General features: G+C 45.9%; 2 long non-coding RNA genes across 2 annotated transcripts in view, besides 1 other annotated feature; both read right to left on the bottom strand.

The window, feature by feature from the left end:
• The window catches only part of LOC124900162 (uncharacterized), a 29315-nt gene extending 17525 nt beyond the window's left edge, over positions 1 to 11790 (bottom strand). Inside the window, exon 1 of the long non-coding RNA XR_007057986.1 lies at positions 11722 to 11790. This is a non-coding gene — a long non-coding RNA (uncharacterized LOC124900162). The remainder of the gene's footprint in view (positions 1 to 11721) is intronic.
• Positions 11267 to 12466: an enhancer, noted in NCBI's record as "BRD4-independent group 4 enhancer chr4:581897-583096 (GRCh37/hg19 assembly coordinates)". NCBI's record gives its function as "activates an origin of replication core promoter dependent on BRD2, P300/CBP, MED14 and CDK7 cofactors, and independent of BRD4, by STARR-seq in HCT116 cells {active_cell/tissue: HCT116}" and the evidence as "EXISTENCE:reporter gene assay evidence [ECO:0000049][PMID:35650434]".
• LOC105374338 (uncharacterized) lies at positions 15708 to 23406 on the bottom strand. The gene is made up of 3 exons (NR_148199.1): positions 22255 to 23406; positions 21741 to 21854; positions 15708 to 16295 (listed from the first exon to the last, which is right to left on the bottom strand). It is a non-coding gene; the product is annotated as an uncharacterized LOC105374338 (long non-coding RNA).
• Positions 23407 to 24057: the final 651 nt, after the last annotated feature.

Below are 24057 nucleotides of genomic sequence, written 5' to 3'. Positions count from 1 at the left end.
ATGGCCCACTCAGCAGTGGCACGGAGCCAAAGGAACCTCCACTGCCAGCCAAGGAAGTGGTGAGTGATTGTGGACCCTGCTGGGAAATCATGCTTCTCCCATGGATCTTTGCAACTGTGGATCAGGAGATCCCTTGATGAGGCCCCACCACCAGTGCCTTGGGCCCGATACACAGAGCTTTGTGGAACTTTCAGCAGAGCAGCCACTCAGCCACACACAGAGACCCAGGCGTTTTACATACTCCGGCCCCAGGATCCCTGGCAAGGTGGGAAATCCATCCTTCCAGATTCCTGGGAAGAGGGCTGACTCCACGGAGCCAAGCAGAATCATTCCGCAGTCCTCACTTCCATGGCACATCACAAGTTAAGACCCACTGGCTTGGAATCCCAGCCAGCCAACAGCAACAGGCTGGACTCTGCCTGAGAAGGGTCCGAGTTCCCAGGGCAGGGGTGGCTGCCATCTCTGCAATTGGGTAGACTCAGCCGTTCCAGCCTGCAGACTTTGGAGAATACGAATGGTCCAGATGAGAAGGGGTCCCCCACAGGCAGCACAGCTGCCTTGCCAGATCGTGGCCAAAGTGCTTCTTTAATTGTGATCCCATCCGCTTCCCCTCACTGCGTGGGTCCTCCCTGCAGGGGCTTCAGCCACTCCAGCCAGGGTTCTATGGATAGAGCTCTGATCTCTCCTTGGGATGGAGCTCCTGTGGGGAGGGGCAGCCACCATCTCTGCAGTTTGGTTGACTTAGTCATTCCAGCCTGCCAGCTTTGGAGAATACAAATGGTCTGGATGAGGAAGGACCACCCCCTCCCCCCCGCAACAAAACGCAGCGCACCTGCTCTATGAAAAAGCAGCAGGACTGCTTCTTTTTTTTTGAGATGGAGTCTTGTTCTGTCGCCCAGGCTGGAGGTGACGTGGCGCGATCTCGGCTCACTGCAAGCTCCGCCTCCCGGGTTCACACCATTCTCCTGCCTCAGCCTCCCGAGTAGCTGGGACTACAGGCACCCGCCACCACACCTGGCTAAATTTTTGTATTTTTAGTAGAGGCGAGGTTTCACTGTGTTAGCCAGGATGGTCTCGATCTCCTGACCTCGTGATCCGCCAGCCTCGGCCTCCCAAACTGCTGGGATTACAGGCGTGAGCCACTGCGCCCAGCCAGGACTGCTTCTTTAAGCAGGTCCCTGATCCCATTTCTCCTGACTAGCTGAGATCCCCCAACAGGTGTCTACAGCCACCTCCTGCACGTGTGTTCAGGCTGGCAACAGGTCAGTACCCCCCGAGGACAGAGCTTCCAGAGGAAGGAGGTGGCTGTCATCTTTGCTGTTTCTCAGATACCTCCAGGTATGGGAAAAACCAAGGCAACTAGGGTCTGGAGTGGACCCCAGCAAACTGCAGCCATCTTATGGTAGAGTGGCCTGACTGTTACAAGAAAACAAACAAAATAACAACAACGTCAGCAAAAAAGTCCCCACAAAAACCCCATTCAAAGGTTAGCAACCTCAAAGATTGAAGGTAGATAAGCCCACAAAGATGAGGAAAAATCAATGCAAAAATGCTGAAAACTCAGCGTGCCTCTTCTCCTCCAAATGACTGCAACACCTCTACAGCAAGGGTACAGAACTGGGCTAAGGCTGAGATGGCTGAACTGACAGAAGCAGGCTTCAGAAGGTGGGTAATAACAAACTTCGCTGAGCTAAAGGAGCGTTTGTAACCCAACGCAAAGAAGCTAAGAATCACGATAAGACAGTACAGGAGCTGACAGCCAGAATACCCGGTTTAGAGAGAAACACAACTGACCTGATGGAGCTGAAAACAACCTGAGAACTTCTCAATGCAACCACGGGTACCCATAGCAGAATAGGCCAGGTAGAAGAAAGAATCTTAGAGCCTGAAGACTATATTTCTGAAGTAAGATAGGCAGACAAGAACAGAAAAAAACAAGAATGAAAAGCAATGAAAAAAACCTCTGGGAAATGCGGGATTATGTAAAGAGACCAAACCTACAGCTGAGTGGGGTACCTGAAAGAAATGGAGAGAATGGAACCAAATTGGAAAACATACTTTAGGATATCATCCAGGAGAACTTCCCCAACCTGGCAAGACAGGCCAACATTCAAATTCAGGAAATGCAGAGAACCCCAGTAAGATACTGTATGAGAAGATCAACCCCAAGACAAATAATCATCAGATTCTCCGAGGTTGAAATGAAAGAAAAAGTGTTAAGAGCAGCCAGAGAGAAAGGCCAGGCCACCTACAGAGGGAAACTCATCAGACTAACAGTGGGCCTCTCACTGGAAACCCTACAAGCCAGAAGAGATTGGGGGCCAATATTCAACATTCTTAAAGAAAAGAATTTCCAACCCAGAATTTCATATCCAGCCAAACCCAGTGTCATAAGCAAAGGAGAAATAAGATCTTTTTCAGACGAGCAAATGCTGAGAGAATTCGTCACCACCAGGCCTACCTTGCAAGAGCTCCTGAAGGAAGCACTAAATGTGGAAAGGAAAAACTGTTACCAGCCACTATAAAGACACACTGAAATACACAGACCAGTGACACTATGAGGCAACCACATAAGCAAGTCTGCAAAATAACCATCTAGCATCATGATGACAGGATCAAATCCACACAAAACAATATTAACCTTAAATGTAAATGGGCTAAATGCCCCAATTAAAAGACACAGAGTAGCAAGCTGGACAAAGAGCCAAGACCCATCAGAAAAAAATACAAAAAATTAGCCGGGCGTGGTGGCAGGTGCCTGTAGTCCCAGCTACTCAGGAGGCTAAGGCAGGAGAATGGCATGAACCGGGAAGCAGAGCTTGCAGTGAGCTGAGATCATGCCACTGCACTCCAGCCTGGGTGACGGAGTGAGACTCCATCTAAAAAAAAAAAATAAATAATAATAATAAAATAAAGAGACCCACCTCACATGCAAAGATACATGTAGGCTCAAAATAAAAGGATGGATAAAAATTTACCAAGCAAATGGAAAACAGAAAAAAACAGAGGTTGCAGTCCTAGTTTTCGACAAAACAGACTTTAAACCAACAAAAAGCAAAAAAGACAAAGAAGGGCATTACACAATGGTAAAGGGTTCATTTCAACAAGAACTAACTATCCTAAATATATATGCATCAAATACAGGAGCACCTAGATTCATAAAGGAAGTTCTTAGAGATCTACAAAGAGCCTTAGATTCTCACACAATAATAGTGGAAGACTTTAACACCCCACTGACAATATTAGACAGATCATTGACAGAAAATTAACAAAGATATTCAGGACCTAAACTCAGCTCTGGATCAAGTGGATCTGATAGATACCTACAGAATTATCCACCCCAAAATAACAGAATACACATTCGTCTCATTGCCACATGGCACTTACTTTAAAATTGATCACATAATTGGAAGCAAAACACAACTCATCAGATGGAAAAGAACTGAAATCATAATAGTCTCTCAGACCACAGTGCAATCAAATTAGAACTCAAGATTAAGAAATTCACTCAAAACCACTGAACTACATGGAAACTGAACAACCTGCTCCTGAATGACTCTTAATAATGAAATTAAGGCAGAAATCAAGAAGTTCTTTGAAACTAGTGAGAACAAGAGACAATGTACCAGAATCTCTGAGACACAGCTAAAATAGTGTTAGGGAAATTTATAGCACTAAATGCCCACACTGAAAAGCTAGAAAAATCTCAAGTTAACAACCTAACATCTCAACTAAAAGAACTAGAGAACCAAGAGCAAACAAGCCCCACCCAAAGCTAGCAGAAGACAAGAAATAACCAAGATCAGAGCTGAACTGAAGAAGATAGAGATGCCCAAAACCCTTCAAGAAAATCAACGAATCCAGGAGCTGGTTTTTTGAAAAAATTAATATAATAGATAGACCACTAGCTAGACTAATAAAGAAGAGAAGAGAGAAGAATCAAATAAACACAATCAGAAATAATGAGGATATCACCACTGACCCCACAGAAATACAAACACCTATCAAATAATACTAGAAATACCTCTATGCACATAAACTAGAAAATCTAGAAGAAATGGATACATTCCTGGACACGTATACCCTCCCAAGACTGAACCAGGAAGAAATTGAATCCCTACATAGACCAATAACGAGTTCTAAAATTGAGGCAATAATAAACAGCCTACCAAGCAAAAAAGGCCCAGGACCAGATTCACAACTGAATTCTACCAGAGGTTCAAAGAAGAGCTGGTACTATTCTACTGAATCTATTCAAAAAAAATTGAAAAGGAGGGACTCCTTCCTAACTCATTATGTGAGGCCAGCATCATCCTGATACCCAAACCTGGCAGAGATACAAGAAAAAAAGAAAACTTGAGGCCAATATCCTTCACAAACATTGATGCAAAAATCCTCAATAAAATACTGGCAAACAAATCCAGCAGCACATCAAAAGGCTTATCCACCAAAATCAAGTTGGCTTCACCTCAGAGATGCAAGGCTGGGTCAACATACACAAATCAATAACTGATTCATCACATAAACAGAACCAAAGACAAAAACCACGTATTTATCTCAATAGATGCAGAAAAGGCCATGATAAAATTCAACATCCCTTCATGTTAAAAACTCTCAATAAACTAGGTATTGAAGGAACATACTTCAGAATAATAAAAGCCATATATGACAAACTCACAGCCAATATCACACTGAATGCGCAAAAGCAGGAAGCATTCCCCTTGAAAAACAGCACAAGACAAGTATGTCCTCTCTCACCGCTCCTGTTCAATATCAACATAGTACTGGAAGTTCTGACCAGGGCAATCAGGCAAGAAAAAGAAATAAAGCGTATTCAAACAGGAAGAAAGGAAGTCAAATTATCTTTGTTTGCATATGACATAATTCTATATCTAGAAAAACCTATTGTCTCAGCCCCAAACCCTCTTAAACTGATAAACAACTTCAGCAAAGTCTCAGGATACAAAATCAATGTGCAAAAATCTCTAGCATTCCTATATACCAACAACAGGCAAGCAGAGAACCAAATCATGAATGAACTCCCATTCACAACTGCCACAAAAAAAATACAGCTAACAAGGGAAGTGAAGGACCTCTTCAAGGAGAGCTACAAGCCACTGCTCAAAGAAATCAGAGATGACACAAATAAATGGAAAAACATTCCATGCTCATGGATAGGAAGAATCAATATCATGAAAATGGCCATACTGCCCAAAGTAATTTATAGATCCAATGCTATTCCCATCTAACCACCATGGACATTCTTCACAAAATTAGAAAAAAAAAAAAAACTATTTTAAAGTTCACATGGAACCAAAAAAGAACCCAAATAGCCAAGACAATCCTAAGCAAAAAGAACAAAGCTGGAGGCATCATGCTACCCAACTTCAAACTATACTACAAGGCTACAGTAACCAAAACAGCATGATACTGGTAGAAGAACAGACACACAGACCAATGGAACAGAATAGAAAACTCAGAAATAAGACCACACATCTACAACCATTTGATCTTTGACAAACCTGACAAAAACAAGCGATGGGGAGAGGATTCCCTATTTAATAAATTGTACTAGGAGAGTTGGCTAGCCATATGCAGAAAATTGAAACTGGACCCCTTCTTTATACCTTATACAAAAATTAACTCAAGATGGATTAAAGACTTAAATGTATTATAAAACCCAAAACTATAAAAACCCTAGAAGAAAATTCAGGCAATACCATTCAGGACATAGTCACGGGCAAAGATTTTATGACCAAAATGCCAACAGCAATAGCAGCAAAAGGAAAAATTGACAAATGGGATCAAATTAAACTAAAGAGCTTCTGCACAGCAAAAGAAACTAGCATCAGAGTGAACAGACAACTTACAGAATGGGAGACAATTTTTGCAATCTATCCAACTGACAAAGATCTAATATCCAGAGTCTACAAGGAACTTAAATTTATGAGAAAAAAACAACTCCATTAAAAAGTGGGCAAATAACATGAACAGACACTTTTCAAAAGAAGACACACATGTGGCCAATAAACCTATGAAAAAAAGCTGAACATGACTGATCACTAGAGAAATGCAAATCAAAACCACAGTGAGATACCATCTCACACCAGTCTGACTGTTATTAAAAAGTCAAAAAACAAGAGATGCTGGCAAGATTGAGGAGAAAAAGGAATGCTTTTACACTGTTGGTGGGAGTGTAAATTAGTTTAACCATTGTGGAAGACAGTGTGGCAATTCCACAAAGACGTAGAGGCAGAAATACCATTCGACCCAGCAACCCCATTAATGGGTGTATACTCAAAAGAATATAAATCACTCTGGCCGGGCGCGGTGGCTCGCGCCTGTAATCCCAGCACTTCGAGAGGCTGAAGTGGGTGGATCACAAGGTCAAGAGATCAAGACCATCCTGGACAACATGGTGAAACCCTGTCTCTCCTAAAAATACAAAAATTAGCTGGGCACGGTGGCAAGCACCTGTAGTCCCTGCTACTCAGGAGGCTAAGCCAGGAGAATTGCTTCAACCCAGGAGGTGGAGGTTGCAGTGAGCAGAGATCGTGCCACTGCACTCCAGCCTGGTGACAGAGTGAGACTCCGTCTCAAAAAAAAAAAAGAAAGAATATAAATCATTCTATTATAAAGATACATACACACATATGTTCATTGCAGCACTATTCACAATAGCAAAGACATGAAATCAACCTAAATGACCACTGACGATAGACTGGATAAAGAAAATGTGGTACATTTATACTATGGAATATTATGCAGCCATCAAAAGGAATGAGATCATGTCCTTTTGCAGGGACCTGGATGGAGTTGGAAGCCATTATCCTCAGCAAACTAATGTAGGAACAGAAAACCAAATACCACGTATTCTCACTTACAAGTGGGAGCTGAATGATGAAAATGCATGGACACGGGGTGGGGGGCAACAATACACACTGGGGCCTGTTGGAGGGTGGTGGCAGGTAGGGCGAGGGAGAGCATCAGGAGGAATAGCTAATGGATGCCGGGCTTCTTACCTAGGGGATGGGATGGTTTGTGTAGCAAGCCACCATGGCACACATTTACCCATGAAACAAACCTGCACATCCTGCACAGGTACCCTTGAACTTAAAAGCTAAAGAAAAAAAAATAACCTTCAAATGTTGAAAGAATGAAAGAAAGAAAGAGGAAAGGAAGGAAGGAAGGAAGGAAGGAAGGAAGGAAGAAAGAAGGAAGGAAGGAAAGAAAAAGAAAGAAAGGAAGGAAGAAAGAAAGAAGGAAAGAAAGAAAGAAACTAGATGAGGTCACCAAGGGAGTGAGTGTAGACAGAAGGGACAGAATCAAGGGCTGAGGCTTAGGGACACATGTGCGAAGGGGACGCCACCCAGCCCCCATGCAACAGCATCCCCTGCCATGTGCTCCTGTATGTTTCAGCAGCTGGACTTAACAGTCTGCAACTGTGTATTTTTGTGAAGATGTGATTCATCTCCATCTCTCCCGCCACGCTCCTCCAGTGAGCAGGAGCCCTGTCATTTTGCAAACTGCTGTACCCCAAGGCCTAGAGCAACCCCTGGCTGCCTGACAGTAACAAGTCAATAAGCAAGTGCATGAGTGAAGGGCACCAGGATTCTTTTCTTTTTTCTTTTTTTTTATTGATCATTCTTGGGTGTTTCTCGCAGAGGGGGATTTGGCAGGGTCATAGGACAATAGTGGGGGGAAGGTCAGCAGATAAACAAGTGAACAAAGGTCTCTGGCTTCCCTAGGCAGAGGACCCTGCGGCCTTCTGCAGTGTTTGTGTCCCTGGGTACTTGAGATTAGGGAGTGGTGATGACTCTTAACGAGCATGCTGCCTTCAAGCATCTGTTTAACAAAGCACATCTTGCACTGCCCTTAATCCATTTAACCCTGAGTGGACACAGCACTTGTTTCAGAGAGCACAGGGTTGGGGGCAAGGTCACAGATCAACAGGATCCCAAGGCAGAAGAATTTTTCTTAGTACAGAACAAAATGAAAAGTCTCCCATGTCTACCTCTTTCTACACAGACACGGCAACCATCCGATTTCTCAATCTTTTCCCCACCTTTCCCCCTTTTCTATTCCACAAAACCGCCACTGTCATCATGGCCCGTTCTCAATGAGCCGCTGGGCACACTTCCCAGACAGGGTGGTGGCCGGGTAGAGGGGCTCCTCACTTCCCAGCAGGGGCGGCCGGGCAGAGGCACCCCTCACCTCCCGGACGGGGCGGCTGGCTGGGCGGGGGGCTGACCCCCCCACCTCCAGGATTCTTTTCTCTGTCTGTTTTTACCATCGTCACACTTAAAAAACATAAGTTATTCTGTTTTCTTGGTGGGTTAGGGATAAAAATTTGAAAAATAATTTTATGTTATTAAAATACATGCTACTATTTGAGAGTTTAACATAAAAATTTCCATCAGTAATTTCTTCATATAATTTTAGAAATAACAGGGCGGGCATGGTGGCTCACGCCTGTAATCCCAGCACTTTGGGAGGCAGAGGCGGGCGGATCACGAGGTCAGAGGATCAAGACCATCCTGGCTAACACAGTGAAACCCCGTCTCTACTAAAAATACAAAAAATTAGCCGGGCATGGTGGCAGGCGCCTGTAGTCCCAGCGACTCGGGAGGCTGAGGTAGGAGAATTGCTTGAACCCCGGGCCAGAGGTTGCAGTGAGCCAAGATCGCGCCACTGCACTCCAGCCTGGGCGACAAACTGAGACTCCGTCTCAAAAAAAAAAAAAACAAAAAACATATATTTTAAGCTAAAATTCTTATCTGTTTTTTGTTTTGTACCTATCACTCCAGTGTGACTTGCTATTTCTTACAAAATCCACTCTCAGTTTTTTGTTTGGTTTTGAGACGGAGCCCCACTCTGTCACCCAGGCTGGAGTGCAGTGGCACGATCTTGGCTCACTGCAACCTCTGGCCCCGGGGTTCAAGCAATTCTCCTGCCTCAGCCTCCCAAGTAGCTGGGATTACAGGTGCACACCACCACACCTGACTAATTTTTGTAGTTTTAGTAGAGACGGGGTTTCGCCATGTTGGCCAGGCTGCTCTCAAACTCCTGACCTCCAGTGATCTGCCCACCTCAGTCTCCCAAAGTGCCGGGATTACAGCCGTGAGCCACTGCACCTGGGCCACTCTCCATTTTTATAATTGTATCACCAATAATGGTGTCACAAAAACAGGCTTTGTATAAATGCCTGATTATCATCTGACCCAGCTGAGAGCTTCCTCACATTATTAATGAACAGTGCAGTTCTGAGTTGAACGTGGTTCATACTTTCATTTATGTTAATAAGTAAAAGGTAATTGAAATCACAAAGACATTGGAACGTCACTTCATCAATGACATGAGTGCCTCTCCTGAGTCACTTTCTAATACTGGAAGAACATTTCCCTGATTTTTGGTAGTATTCACAATGTAATGGTTACAGCCACAACACACGTTTAAATTTAATCTACATTACTCATATTTTCCCATAACTTCATTAAATCTAGACAGTCAATAAAGCAACAACCCAGCCGCATTTGTAGCATTTGCCAATTTCTGTGGTGTAAATGCCCCCCTCATGGCCAACTTGGAGCCACACACAAAAAGTCACTGAGCATGGTGCTAGGAAGAGACCGTGGTAGCCCATTACAGCTTTTACCCCTACAGATACAGCTGATGTCAGTGATCTCAGGAATGCAGGCGATGTAAAATGTAGTAAAATAATTAGAAAGTAATGGCTTCGAGTATTTATTACCTATGTTTTAAGTAAGCTTTATTTCATTGTAAGTGCGTATCATTTACTTTTCAGCAATGTCTGTATCTAACAGCAAAGCTCCTGGCAGTGCAGCTTTCCACTCCGGGAGCCAATGCACGTCGACTCCAGCACACACTGGCTCCTGGGCTCCTCTGGTGGGCCTGACCTCATCAGGTGAGCCCTGAGAGGAGCGAGCAGAAGCAGGAGTGGAAGGATGCAGACTGGCCCATGTGGGCCACCTGGGAAGGGTGGTGACTTCTGGAAGGGGTGAGGGCCTCGGCCCTACAACTGATCGTTGACAAATCAACAACCAGAACAACCCTGGAAGAGACCCTTGTGCCTCAGATGAGATCACAGCTCTGGGCGACGCCTTAATTTTGGCCTGGAGGTGCAAGGGGCAGAGGACCCAACTGACCCCATAGAAAGTGGAGAGAGGGCCGGGCATGGTGGCTCATGCCTGGAATCCCAGCACTCTGGGAGGCCGAGACAGGTGGATCACCTGAGGTCAGGAGTTTGACACCAGCCTAGCCAACATGGTGAAACCCTGTCTCCACCAGAAATACAAAAATTAGCTGGGCATGGTGGTGGGTGCCTGTAATCCCAGCTACTCGGGAGGCTGAGGCAGGAGAATCACTTGAACCTGGGAGGTGGAGGTTGCAGTGAGCCGAGATGGTGCCACTGCACTCCAGCCTGGTGACAGAGTGAGACGCCGTCTCAAACAAAAACAAAAAAAAAAGAAAAAAGAAAAAGAAGAAAGTGGAGAAAATGCCTTTGTGTTGTTTTAAGTTACTAAAATGGTGATAATTTGTTACGCAGAAATAGAAAAACTAGCGAGTAATCCGACTCCCTTAAACTTGAACTTACAAAAGAAAAATCCATTTTAAAAATATCCCCACAACTTTCTAAGGTGGTGTCTGATGACCTGGAGATGCTGGAGGGAGCTGCTCAAGCTTGAAGACAGGAGCTGGGAGGACAGAGCTGAGCTGCCCTGCATTACGGAGGGGACGGGAGGAGACCTGAGGGAAATCCAGAAAGGAGGAGCTGGGAAGACTGAACAGTGGGGTTGAGAGGTGGGAGGCCCGTCTTCCTGAGGCTGGAAGGGAGGCGTGGCAGGAGGAAAGATAATGGAAATTTCTCCGGAGGTGCTGTGGACCTAGAAACCACCGTACCCCTGCAATCCTAAGCAAGTTCTGCTCACAAACACTCCTGAGAAAGTCGAGTTGTGTTCTTTCTCTGCTTTTTTGAGCTGGGGAGTGTGATGGTTAATATTGAGTGTCAACTTGATTGGATTGAAGGATGCAAAATATTGATCCTGGGTGTGTCTGTGAGGACGTTGCCAACGGAGATTAACATTTGAGTCAGTGGGCTGGGAAAGGCAGACTCACCCTCAATCCTGGTGGGCACCGTCTAATCAGCTGCCAGCACGGCCAGAATAAAAGCAGGCAGGGGAACGTGGAAGGACTGGACCGGCTGAGTCTTACGGCCTCAGCCTCCATCTTTCTCCCGTGCTGGATGCTTCCTGCCCTCAAACATCAGACTCCAAGCTCTTCAGCTCTGGGACTCTTGGACTTAACACCAGTGGTTTGCCCGGGGCTCCTGGGCCTTTGGCCACAGACACGGCTGTGTTGTCAGCTTCCCTACATTTGAGGTTTGGGGACTTGGACTGGCTTCCTGGCTCCTCAGCTTGCATTCGGCCTACTGTGGGACTTCACCTGTGATCGTGTGAGTCAAGTCTCCTAATAAACTCCCCTTCATATACATTTATCCTATGAGCTCTGTCCCTCTAGAGAACCCTGACTAATACAGGGAGAAAAGCTCAAAGATGTGAGCGAAAGGACAGCTGGTACATAGGTTACTGAGAAAGTGTAAGGTCTTTATCAGTGGAAACTTTTACCCACTTCTTACCAAATAAATGTTGAACAAATATCTAAAGAACATTAACTGAATGAGGCATAAATTCTAGATCTCACCATGCTCGGTCGGTCCTGTGTGTCCCCAGCCTGACATCGACAGTGTAGGCACGCAACAAAAGATGGCCGCACGCATGGTGGGACGACGGAGGAAGGAGTCACCCGCTGACCAACAGGAAAAAGCACAGATGCCTTTCCTGAAAAGATGGCCGCACGCATGGAGGGACGACGGAGGAAGGAGTCACCCGCTGACCGACAGGAAAAAGCCCAGATGCCTTTGCTGAAAAGATGGCCGCAGCATGGAGGGACAACGGAGGAAGGAGTCACCCGCTGACCGACGGGAAAAAGCCCAGATGCCTTTGCTGAAAAGATGGCCGCACGCGTGGAGGGACAACGGAGGAAGGACTCACCCGCTGACCGACGGGAAAAAGCCCAGATGCCTTTGCTGAAAAGATGGCCGCACGCGTGGAGGGACGACGGAGGAAGGAGTCATCCGCTGACAGACAGGAAAAAGCCCAGATGCCTTCGCGGATGATGTGAAGAGACTGCCCAGACCACGCCCAGGCACAGTGTCAGGCATAGTCCTGCAAACTACTGAATCCTCGCCACCTAGCTAAGAGGGGCAGTAGCTGGGCTCGGGGCTATGTTTCCCAGTTACCATATCCCCCGCCCCACCTGGCACCTCTGGGCACCGCGGCCTCAGGCACAGGGATCCTCTGCTGAGAAGTCAGCCTCAGAAGACGCCAAACGCTGCCCCTCCCCGCGGGAAGTGACGCTGAGACGCCGCTTCCTTGCCGTTCTGTCTTCCAAGTCAGTCTCCCAAGCATGTTTCAGGGCAGCTGGAAACTGAGCTTCAAACTCCAGGTCCGGAAGTCAGGTACTACTTGTCATCAAATATAGAAAGGTTATCCAACAGGTAGCTAGAAAGGTGACTTATGTCCACCCCAGTCCCCGTGACACGTCCCCAGATGGCCTCACATTTGACGGCCACGCACAGCAGAATCTGGATTTGTGGTGAGTCGTTCCTCCGAAGGCAGCACGCAGTCGTGACCTGGAATTGCAAGGCCATCTTCTTGGAAGCTGCTGCCTGCCCCAGAATAACGATGGTCGTCCATCTGGCTCATGGGTCTTGAGTGGCTCCAGTTGGGTTGCTGAGGGATGAAGACTGGATGTGAAAGAAATGGATTCAAGCTACCAGAGGAGCAGCTCCAGGGCAAGGCAGCAGGGATAGGCCTCCTCTCGTCACTCTCACGGTCAGCTTTCTGCTTCGCGTCATGTCTGTGGGCATGCTTGTTGCCCACCACTTATAAAATAAGAATATATAGAAGGAGATAGAATGGATATAACCAGAAAACTATAGAGAAACATAAAATTAAAAAAAAAAAACAAAAGTTAAAAGATTGAAAAAGGTAACTGAGAAAGGGACCTAGGTGGGAATGTAAATTTGAACAAACACAGTGCAGCTTGGCCTTAATGGATAAAATAATGATATGGAAATTTACTTCCACCAATGAATGAAGAAAAATATGTCCAAAGAAAATATAACATTAATGAATGAATAAGAAGGCAAGAAAGAATAAACTGAGGAACAAAACACAGATGAGACAGATAGAGAATATCATGTAACTATAACCATTTAAATAATTGCATCAAACATAAATGAAGTATCCCAAGCAAAAGGCACAAATGGTCAGACTGACTTAAGAAAGCAAGAACCAACCTTATGTTGTCTTCAAGAGACAGAAAGAGGTGGAAATTAAAATTTAAGGATGGAAAATAATATACCACGCAAACAGCTAGCATAAGAAAGCCATCATAGCTGAATGTGCGTGTGAGTGTGCATGTGCTTTTTTTTTTTTTTTTAGACAGAGTCTTGCTCTGTCGCCCAGCTGGAGTGCAATGGCATGATCTCAGCTCACTGCAAGCTCCACCTCCCGGGTTCACGCCATTCTCTTGCCTCAGCCTCCTGAGTAGCTCAGATTACAGACACCCGCCACCACGTCCGGCTAATTTTTCTATTTTTAGTAGAGACGGGGTTTCACCGTGTTAGCCAGGATGGTCTCAAACTCCTGACCTTGTGATCTGCCCACCTCAGCCTCCCAAAGTGCTGGGATTACAGGCATGAGCCACTGTGCCTGGCTCTGCATGTGTGTTTTAAGACAGGGCGTTGTTCTGTTGTTGTTCAGTCTGGAGTGCAGTGGTGTGATCAGAGTTCACTGTAACCTCCGACTCTTAGATTCAAGCTATCCACTTCAGCCTCCTATGTAGATCCTCCTGCTTCAGCTGCCTCCTGCTTGGGCTTCCTCTGTAGGACCCACAGGCATATGTCATTATGCTTGGCTGATGTCCTAAACATGTTTTTTTTTTTTAGAGATGGGAGTCTCACTGTGTTGCCCAGGCTGGTCTCAAACTCCTGGCCTCAAGCAATCCTCCTGCCTTGGCTTCTCAAAGGGCTGGGATTACAGGCACGAGCCACACTGCACATGGCCTGTAGTAGCTGTATTAATAGCACACAAAATATTCTTCAATAGAATGAGTATTATAAGACAAAAAGGATAGTTCCTGCTCAATACAATAGGAAGAGACAACAATTACAAACATATACACATCTGATAACAGAATGCCAAAATATATGAACAAAAACTAGTAAAACCAAAGGGAAAAATAGAAAATCTACAATAATAGCTGGAGATTTTAACATGCTGTTCTCAGTAATACAACAAGTAGACAAAAAGAAAAAGGTATACAGGAGATTCAAATGACACTACGAACTAAACTGAATTGACACTTAGAGAAAATAATCAGCAACAACTTCAGAACGCACACTCTCTCCAACTGTATGTGAAACATTCGTCAGGACAGGCCACGTGCTTGTCTCAACAGATTTCAAAAGATCAATATCTTGCAGAGTGTTTCCAGACCACAACAGTCATAAATTAGGAATCTGCAACAACTAATCTAGAAAGGACCCCAAATGTCTCTAGAAGTTAACTCACTTCTAAACACCAATGAGTCAAAGAAGAAATCACAAATATCACTAGGAAATATTTTTACCAGAATAATAATAAAAACATAACATAAGGAAAATTGTGGAATATAATTAAGGAAATGTTTAAAGCAAAATTTATAGCATTAAAAATTATATAAGAAAAAAAGAAAGGTCTCAAATGAGAACTAGAGAAAGAAAGGCAACGAAAGCCAAAGTAAGCAGAAAAAGGAAATAATAAGCAAGAGTACAGAAATCAATGAATAGAAAACAAAATATGAAGATAATGATGAAACCAAAAACTAGTTTTTTGAGATGATCAATAACACTGATAAATCTCTAACCAAATTAAGAAAAAAGAGAACACACGAGGCCGGGCCCTGTGGCTCACGCCTGTAATCCCAACACTTTGGGAGGTTGAGGCGGGCAGATCACAAGGTCAAGAGATCAAGATCATCCTGGCCAACATGGTGAAACCCCGTCTCTACTAAAAATACAAAAATTAGCCAGGCATGGTGGTGGGCACCTGTAGTCCCAGCTACTTGGGAGGCTGAGGCAGGAGAATCACTTGAACCCGGGAGGCGGAGGTTGCAGTGAGCTGAGATTGCACCATTGCACTCCAGCCTGGGTGACAGAGCGAGATTCCATCTCAAAAACAAAAACAAAAACAAAAAAACCCCACAAATTACCAATATCAGAAATGAAAGAGGGGACTTCACTACAGATCCTTTAGATAAAAAGGGATTTTTTTTTTTTTTTTTGAGATGGAGTCTCAGTCTGTTGCCCAGGCTGGAGTGCAGTGGTGCAATCTCAGCTCACTGCAAACTCCACCTCCCGGATTCAAGCGATTCTTCTGTCTCAGCCTCCTAAGTAGCTGGGATTACAGGGGCATGCCACCACACCTGGCTAATTTTTGTATTTTTAGTAGAGACAGGTTTCCCATGTTGGCCAGGCTGGTCTGGAACACCTGATCTCAGGTGATCCACCTGCCTCTGCCTCCCAAAGTGCTGGGATTACAGGCATGAGCCACTGTACCTGGCCAGAAATGATTCATATATATATATGTATGTATTAGCTTTATTGAGGTATGTTTTATATGCAGTAAAAGTCACAACTTCTAAGGAAATATTGGGATAACTTTATGCCAACAAATCTAAAAACTTAAATAAAATGGAAAAATTCCTTGAAAAACACAGGACACTAAAGCTCATTCAAGAAAAAAATTAAATAACCTTAATAGCCCTATATCTGTTAAATAAATTGAATTTATAGCTAAAGTCATTCCCAAAGAAGATGTCAACCTCAGATGGCTTTGCAAGTGAATTCTACTCAACACTTAAGGAAGAAATAACATCAATTCTATACAATTCTTTCACAGAAAACAGAAAATGAGGGAGTACTTCCCAGCTCACTTTATGAAGTTGGCATTACTCTGACACTGAACAAAGACAAAAACATTACAAGAAAAGAAAACTACAAATAATATCCTCATTAACATAAACACAAAAATCCTCAACAAAAGAACAGCCAAGTCGTATCCATCATATATTAAAAGAATAATCCATGTGATCAAGTGGGCTTCATCTCTGGAGTGCAAGCTTGGTTGGACATTTGAAACTGAATCAGTGTAATTCATCATATTAACAGGCTGAAAAAGAAAAACCATATGATAATCTCAAAAGACGAGGAAAAAAGCATTTGACAAGATTCATCAACGGTTCATGATAAAAACACTCAAAACAGAAATAGATTTCAACCTGATAAAAGGCATCTACAAAAAAACTACAGCTTACATTATACTTAAGGGTGAAAGACCAAATGGTTTCCCACTAAGACAAGAAACAAGGCAAGGGTGTTTACTCTCATTACTTCTATTCACTATTATGCATGAGGACCTAGCCAATGCAATAAAGCAAGAAAAAAAAAAAGCATGCAGCTTGGAAAGGAAGCAGTAAAATGGGTTCTATTTACCTGTGGCATGATTGTCTATGTAGAAAATCTTACCAAATACACAAAAGCGGCTGCTAGAATTAGTGAATTTAACAAGGTCACAGGGTAAGAGGGCAATCTAAAAAGTTAATTGTATTTATATGTACCAGTAACAAACAATTTTATATTAATGCTATATGTTTATATAGTAACATTTATTAAAGTAAATGTTACTTTAAAGAAATCAGAATAGACACAAAAATCTAATGAGGGTATCTGGCCAGGTGTGGTGGCTCCTGCCTGTAATCCCAGCACTTTGAGAGGCTGAGGTGGGAGGACTGCTTGAGCCCAGGAGTTCGAGACCAGCCTGGGCAAAATAGTGGGACCTTGTCTCTATAAAAACAAAACAAACAAACAAACAAAAAAACCAGAAAAAAAGAAAGAAAAAAAAGAGGGTGTCTTATTCCTTTAAATTAACATTTACAAAATGAAAAATATAAAAATATGAAATCCTTATAGGGAAATTTAACAAAATGTGTGCAAAGCCTGTGCACTGAAAACTACAAAATATTGATGAGATAAATTAATGAAGACTAAGTAAATGTAGGTTAGAAGATTCAATATTGCTAACATACTAATTATCCCCAAATTAAGATATAGGTTCAATACAATCTCAATCAGACATTTTTGGGTAGAAATTGACAAGCTGAGTCTAAAATCTGTATGGACATGCAAAGGACCTAAAATAGTCAAATTATTTTGAAAAAGAGTAAAAATGTTGGAGGACTCACATTACCTGATTCCAGCATTCATTATGGAGCTACAATAATCCAGATACTGTGATGTTAGCATAAGAACAGACATGGCCAGGCACGGTGGCTCACGCCTGTAATCCCAGCACTTTGGGAGGCCGAGGCAGGTGAATCACGAGGTCAGGAGTTCAAGACCAGCCTAACCAACATGGTGAAACTCCGTCTCTACTAAAAATACAAAAATTAGCTGGGTGTGGTGGCACATGCCTGTAATTCCAGCTACTCAGGAGGCTGGGGTAGGAGAATCGCTTGAACCTGGGAGCAGAGGTTGCAGTGAGCCCAGACAGCACCACTGCACTCCAGCCTGGGCAACAGAGTGAGACTCCATCTCAAAAAAAAAAAAAAAACAAAAAAAAACAGACATATAAGTCGATGGGTCAGAACTGAGAGTCAATTGATTTTCAATAAAAGTACCAAGGTAACTTAATGGTACTGGTAATTATTTTCAAGAAATGGTACTGGAACAACTGTATATCCATATGCAAAAATAAAAACCTTGACCATTACATCATACCATATACAAAAATTAATTCAAAATGGATCACAGATGTACACTTAGGAGCTAAAACCACAAAACTTCTGAAAGACAAGAAAATATTTGTAATCTTGGTTCAGACAATTATTTCCTAAATAATACACAAAAAACATAAAAGAAAAAAGTAATAATTGGATGTCATCAAAATGTAAAGTTTTGCTTTTTAAAAGCTCTTGATAAGAAGATGAAAAAGTAGGTCAAAGACTGGGAGAAAATACTTGCGAAACATTTATCCAATAAATAACATGTTCAGAACGTATAAAGAATTCTTACAACTCAATTACAAGAAGACAACCCAATTTTTAAAAAATCGGCAGAGGATTTGGAAGGACTCTTTACTAAAGATATATGAAAGTCTCAACGCCATTAGTTGTCAAGGTAATGCAAATTAAAACACAATGAGATACACTGCAAACCCACCAGAATGGTCAGCACTATTAAGGCTGACAACACCGTGGGCTGGTGAGGGCGTGGGGCATCTGGAGCTTTCACACTTCGGTCTGGGAATGCAAAATGGTACAGCCACTCTGGAAAACAGTTTGTAAGTTTCCTGAAAGTTAAATATTAACTTTTGATACAGTCCAGCAATACCACTTCTAAGGATGTACCCAAGAGAAGTGAAAACAGATGTTCACAGAAGACTTGTCCTTGAATGACAATAGCAGCATTATTCATAACAATCTCAATGGAAAAACACCAAATGTCCATCATTTCATGGATGAGTAAACAAATGTTGGTGGAATTCTGCTCAGCCACGAAAACAAATGATCCATTGATTCATGCAGCAACGTGGAAAAGTCTCCAAGCATTTTGCCAGCGGAAAGAAGCCAGACAGGAAAGACTCTATGCTCCCTGAGTCCATGTATGTGAAATTTTATACTAAAGCTACGGTGACAGATAGTGGTTCATGGTTGCCTGTGCCCAGAATGGAGGGAGAGGGTGCCTGCAAAGGAGAACTTGGGGGGAGTTGGGACAGTGCTGGATCATCTCGGTGGTGGTGACTCACAACAAGGTGTCCAGTTGTCTAAACTCACTGAGTTGTACACTTAATATGAATGATTGGTATTGCACGTAAATTGTAGTTCAGCATAAAAGGGCACAAAAAGTAATACCTGAAGATAGGTGTTACTCATGAACCGGCAATTTCCCTAAGTATACACCCCTAAAATGCATGTCCATGTACATCAGGGCACACAAATAAGAAGGTTCAAAAATTATTAATAATATTCCCAAACTAGAAATGATCAAATGTTCATCAGCAGTGAAATGGTTAATAAACTGTGTCATACTCATGCAGTGAATCAGTAACCAGCGATGAATGAGCCCCCGTTGCATGCAACATGGATACATTTCGCAGACACAAAGTTGAATGAAAGAAACCAGAGATATAAGAATTATGTCCTATGATTCCATTAATATAAAGTTCAAACACCAGGCAAAATCGAACTAGAATGGTTAGGGATGCACCTCAAGGTAATAAAAGTATAAATAAATGCAAGGAAGTGATTTCAAGTGAACTCAGCAGAAGCTCTGGTGGGAGGGAGGCTGTCGTTGGAAAGGTACGGGTTGTGTACTCAAATCCTGCAATATTCCGTTTTTCGAGTGGGAAGTATACAGATCTTCATTTATAAGTCATTAAGCTATTACATGTATACTTTATGATTTTTCTGTGGATCGATTACATTTCACAAGACAAGAGCTTTTAAACTCATAATTAAGGTGCATTATTGTGTCTCTGAGAACTCGCTGGCTGTGGTTTTATGAGAGTAAGTTCTTTCAGTAAATCACCAGCTGTGCAGAGTTACACAGAGAGGCACACACCGTGGCTGTGTAACTGAAAGATCAATCGTGATTGTTCTTGGAAATAACATGGTGAAGATTAATAATTTAAAATGTTGAGTACTTACGTAGTTAAAAAGATAAAGGATAAAAGTACTAAAAACAGGCCAGGCACGGTGGCTCACACCTGTAATCCCAGCACTTTGGGAGGCTGAGGTGGGGGATCACTTGAGGTCAGGAGTTCGAGACCAGCCTGGACAACATGGTGAAACCCCATCTCTACTAAAAATATAAAAATTAGCTGGGCATGGTGGTGTGAGCCTGTAGTCCCAGCTACTCGGGAGGTTGAGGCAGGAGAATCGCTTGAGCCCAGGAGGCAGAGGTTGCAGTGAGCCGAGATTGCACCACTGCACTCCAGCCTGGGTGACAGAGCAAGACTCTGTCTAAAAAAAAAAAGTACTTAAAAAGTTAAGTGATAAACAAATTAGAAAAAAAAAATTAGAATCAGCCAAACTAATTGAAGTCAATATTCTAGGAGATTGAATTTTAAATGCTAATAAATATGTAAATATTAAAATAAGGTTTACAGTTGATAGGAAAAATATTGTTGGATTAACACAATTGCTGTTGTAATCAGAAAAAAACCACACGATTGTTTTAAGATACCATCTCTGGGCTTCACATTGCTTGTCTTTAGGACAGGACGGTGACGTGGCCCCAGCACAGAGGCAGCTGCGGGGACTATATGCCCTGTGTGGGTGCGCCTGGCACATCACGGGCTCTGTGATCTTTAAAATAACTCCTCTTTCCCCAACAACCTGTAGAAGTCATTTCTCATGAGCACGGCGCTTTTTTCTGAGGTGGGTGCCCCTCCCTGAGCCCTGAGCTCTGCAAATCACCTGACTAGACTGCAACTGCTTGAGGTCCCCTCATGGGGCAGAGTTAAGGCGTGGGAAGAGGCTTCATGGGTGGGCCTGGCAGGTGCTTGGGGGCAGGGATTCTGCCAGAAAGCAACCGAATCAGCTTTCAAAATGTGGCTGCGTCTGCTCCCTTTTCCACTTCTGTTTTTAGGTGTCAGAAACCAGCTGAAGTGCAGAGGCCATCCCTGTGAGTGAAGGGCCATTGAGGGTATGTGAGCTCAACAGACTGTACAAGGAAGCTCTACATGACTGGGACCACAGACTGTACAAGGAAGCTCTACATGACTGGGACCACAGACTGCCCTCCCCTCTCTCTGCCCACCCAATGTCATCCACTCAGGAACACTGCTGACCATCTGCAGAGTCTCAGGAAGTGATGGGAAAAGGGCGGGGGAGATAAGCAGGCAACCCTGTGATTGCACCGTGAGGGCGGAAACCCCACCAGCTCCCCAGTGGCAGGGCTCCTTCTAGACCCACCAGGGCATCCTCCTGCGGGTCCAGGACCTCCTTTATCCTCAGGGTAAAGTCTGAACTTCCCCGCAAGGCTCAAAGACCCTTCTGGGTGGGCACCTGCTGCCCGACGGTGGCACCCTCACTCTGCCCCTCCTATCTGAAGACTTTACTGTGCGCCAGCTCCGGGCTGTCTCCTCCAGGGCCTCTGCTCTTGACGTTCCTGCTGCTGGGGCATGCGCCCTGCCAGAGCCCCTTCCCCACCCCCAATACAGAGATGAGGGCCTGTCTGCCTGCGGGCCGGCCTGTCTCACCTGACCCTGAGCGCCGTAGGAGCAGAACCAGCTGACTTTGCTGTCCTGTCACAAGATGGAGCAACCCACCCATTCATTTGTTCATGCACTCATTCCACATAGCTGGGGCAAAGCCAGATCCTGATGTGGATGGGAGACGGGGGCAAGCTGGACAGGACCGCAGTGAGCTGAACTCCCAATGTGGCAGGGACACACACCTTTGGACCACAGGGAAATCCTGCCTCTTATGGAGGACCGTCTGTCCGGGGCAGGGGAGGGCAGGGAGGCAGTTCGCGGAGCCTGAGTGTGAGCGGCGCTCCGCCAGTCACTGGCTCCTGCATGGGAAGCCTCTGTGAGGGCAGTGGGGCCGCCTACCTTCGTGTGCCGCAAGGACTGAATGAAAATCTGTGTAGAGCACTCGGAGCGGCACCTGGAGGGCAGTGGGATCCCACAAAACTGAGTTACATCTCAGTGGGGTGAAGCGAGCATCTGGGAAATGCAAAGGCAGACGCCGGTGAGGACGTGGAGAGGCGACACACCCCAGGCTGCAGGAGGTGACTGTGCAGAGGCCCGGTGGCAGGAGCAAGCCGCCAGTGGGATGGAGGCCTCTAGAAAGGGGCCAGGGAGGCTGGAGGCCAGACTGGGGAGAAATTCTGCAGGACTGACCTGCCTCCTATGGGATCTCTGATGGCAGAAACCCCTCCAAGCTGTTTTTCCCTGCCCTAAGAGGGCACAGCCCCATCCTTCCACCCTCACCCTTTAGGGAGGCAGGAGGATGAGGCCCCATCCGTTCACTTCCTCCTCCAAAGCCTAATCATCGTGGCTGCAGCAGCCTTGCTGCATTGGGAATGGAGAGGCCGCTCCGCCCTCACTGGAGGGGGCTGCAAACCTCGTTTCCCTGGAAACTGAAATAATCAGTGGAAGTCAGCTCATGGTAAGTCTGCTTGCGCGCGTGGGTGCCACAATTATTACACAAGCTGATTTACACACTGTCCTTTGAAAACCTATGCACCATAAATGCAAAGGAAGGGTCACTATTCCTGTTCTGGAGAGTCATCGTGCAGGAGATACAGGACCGTTCGCGAGGTTCTAAAATCTGCACTCTCTGCTAAAAATACAGTGAAACATGCTCGTCCTCCTCGCAGCGATAGCAGTTGAAGTAAATCCCACGCAGATGTCCAGGAGCGCATGAAGGGCCTTCACATAGATTCACATGGGCAGATGGCTTCCGAGAAAGGTAGGCGACAGGACCGCGCCCGCGCTGCCTGGATGGAGTCTGTGGGTGCAGCTTCCTTCAGACAGAGCCTCTGGGGTCTCTGTCCGGGCCCACCGGGCACCACGGGACACACTGCGCCCTTCAAGGGCATGAAGCTGTGCGCTCTGGATGACGGCTCCACAGGCCAGAACTTGCTAAGGCTGGTGACAGGGACGGAGGTGCGTTCTCAGGGCGTCCCTCCACCTCCCCCGGCGCCCGGAGCGCGTTCCCTGCTGCAGCCACCGAATCCGGCGCAAAGTTATTTAACGCTGCAATTAGCCGGCAGGGTGAGTCATCGGCTCCCCAGCCTCTTGCCGCCGCAGCAGAAACGAACTGGAAGGGACCAGGGGTGCAGGCCCAGCTGCTCGGCCGAGGGCCTTCCGGAGACGCTCCCATCCCCCCAACCAAGGGGCCGAGGCGAGCTCCTCTCAGGAAGAGGCTGGAGGGCCCAGAGAGGCCGAAGAGGTGACCTTCCCCCACCCCACGCACCCAGCCGCCCCACGCCTTCCTCTCACCCACCTCGAATCGTCAGGGTAGGAATGAGGCGGAGGAATTCGCCGCCCTCGTCCCCCTCACTCAGGCCGTGAACCGCCTTCTGATGAATTAATTCACGTGCACCCGCGTCTGGGGAAAATTCCTGTCTGATGCAGACGAGCTTTGCAGACTAAAACCAAACGAGACTCATCCTAGGTTCTAAGACGTCGTCTCCAGCTTGACTCAAATGGCTGGTCCTAAAAGTCAGCGCCCCTACTCATCCCCCGAACCGCGGGCACACGCTCACGGCACACCCCGCACACACGCGCGCGCACACACATGCACACACCACACACGCACCCACAAGCAACACACCGCACACGCGCACACGTCAGCACTTCCCAGAGACCCTGATCGTCCCCATCCCTTGAACAACCCCCTCCCCCCACAGCACCCAGGCTCACTCCTCCCTTACCCCCAGCTCCCGGCCCCTCCCCCTCCCTCCCCGGGCTCCTTCCCACCCCCCCCCAGCTCCCGGCCCCTCCCCCTCCCTCCCCGGGCTCCTTCCCACCCCCCCCAGCTCCCGGCCCCTCCCCCTCCCTCCCCGGGCTCCTTTCCCCCCCACCCCAGCACCCGGGCTCTCCTCCTTTCCTCCCTCCTTTCCCAGGCTCCCCCTTTCCCCTTCTCCTTACCCAGGCTCTCCCCCATACCCACTCACCCCTAGCACACAAGCTCCCCTCTCCCCCTCTCCCTGCATCCCCATAACTTCCACAGGCTTCCCGGCCGCTGGCAGGCGGGTGGGCGGGAAGTGCGGCCCAGACCCAGTGGATAGAGAGGGGAGAGAGGGGAGCGCAGACGCAGGGGCGCCGAGCGGTGGGGAGCGCTGAGGGTGGGGCCCAGGGGGTCCGGGAGAGCCAGCTGGGGGTGGAGAGCTGCGTTTCCGCAGCGGCCCGCGCCGGATAG

This window comes from Homo sapiens, chromosome 4 (genome assembly GCF_000001405.40).
Source record: "Homo sapiens chromosome 4, GRCh38.p14 Primary Assembly".
Classification (NCBI taxonomy): Eukaryota; Metazoa; Chordata; class Mammalia; order Primates; family Hominidae; genus Homo; species Homo sapiens.
Note: the sequence above shows the minus strand (reverse complement) of the source record. Positions and strands in the feature narration are given on the sequence as shown.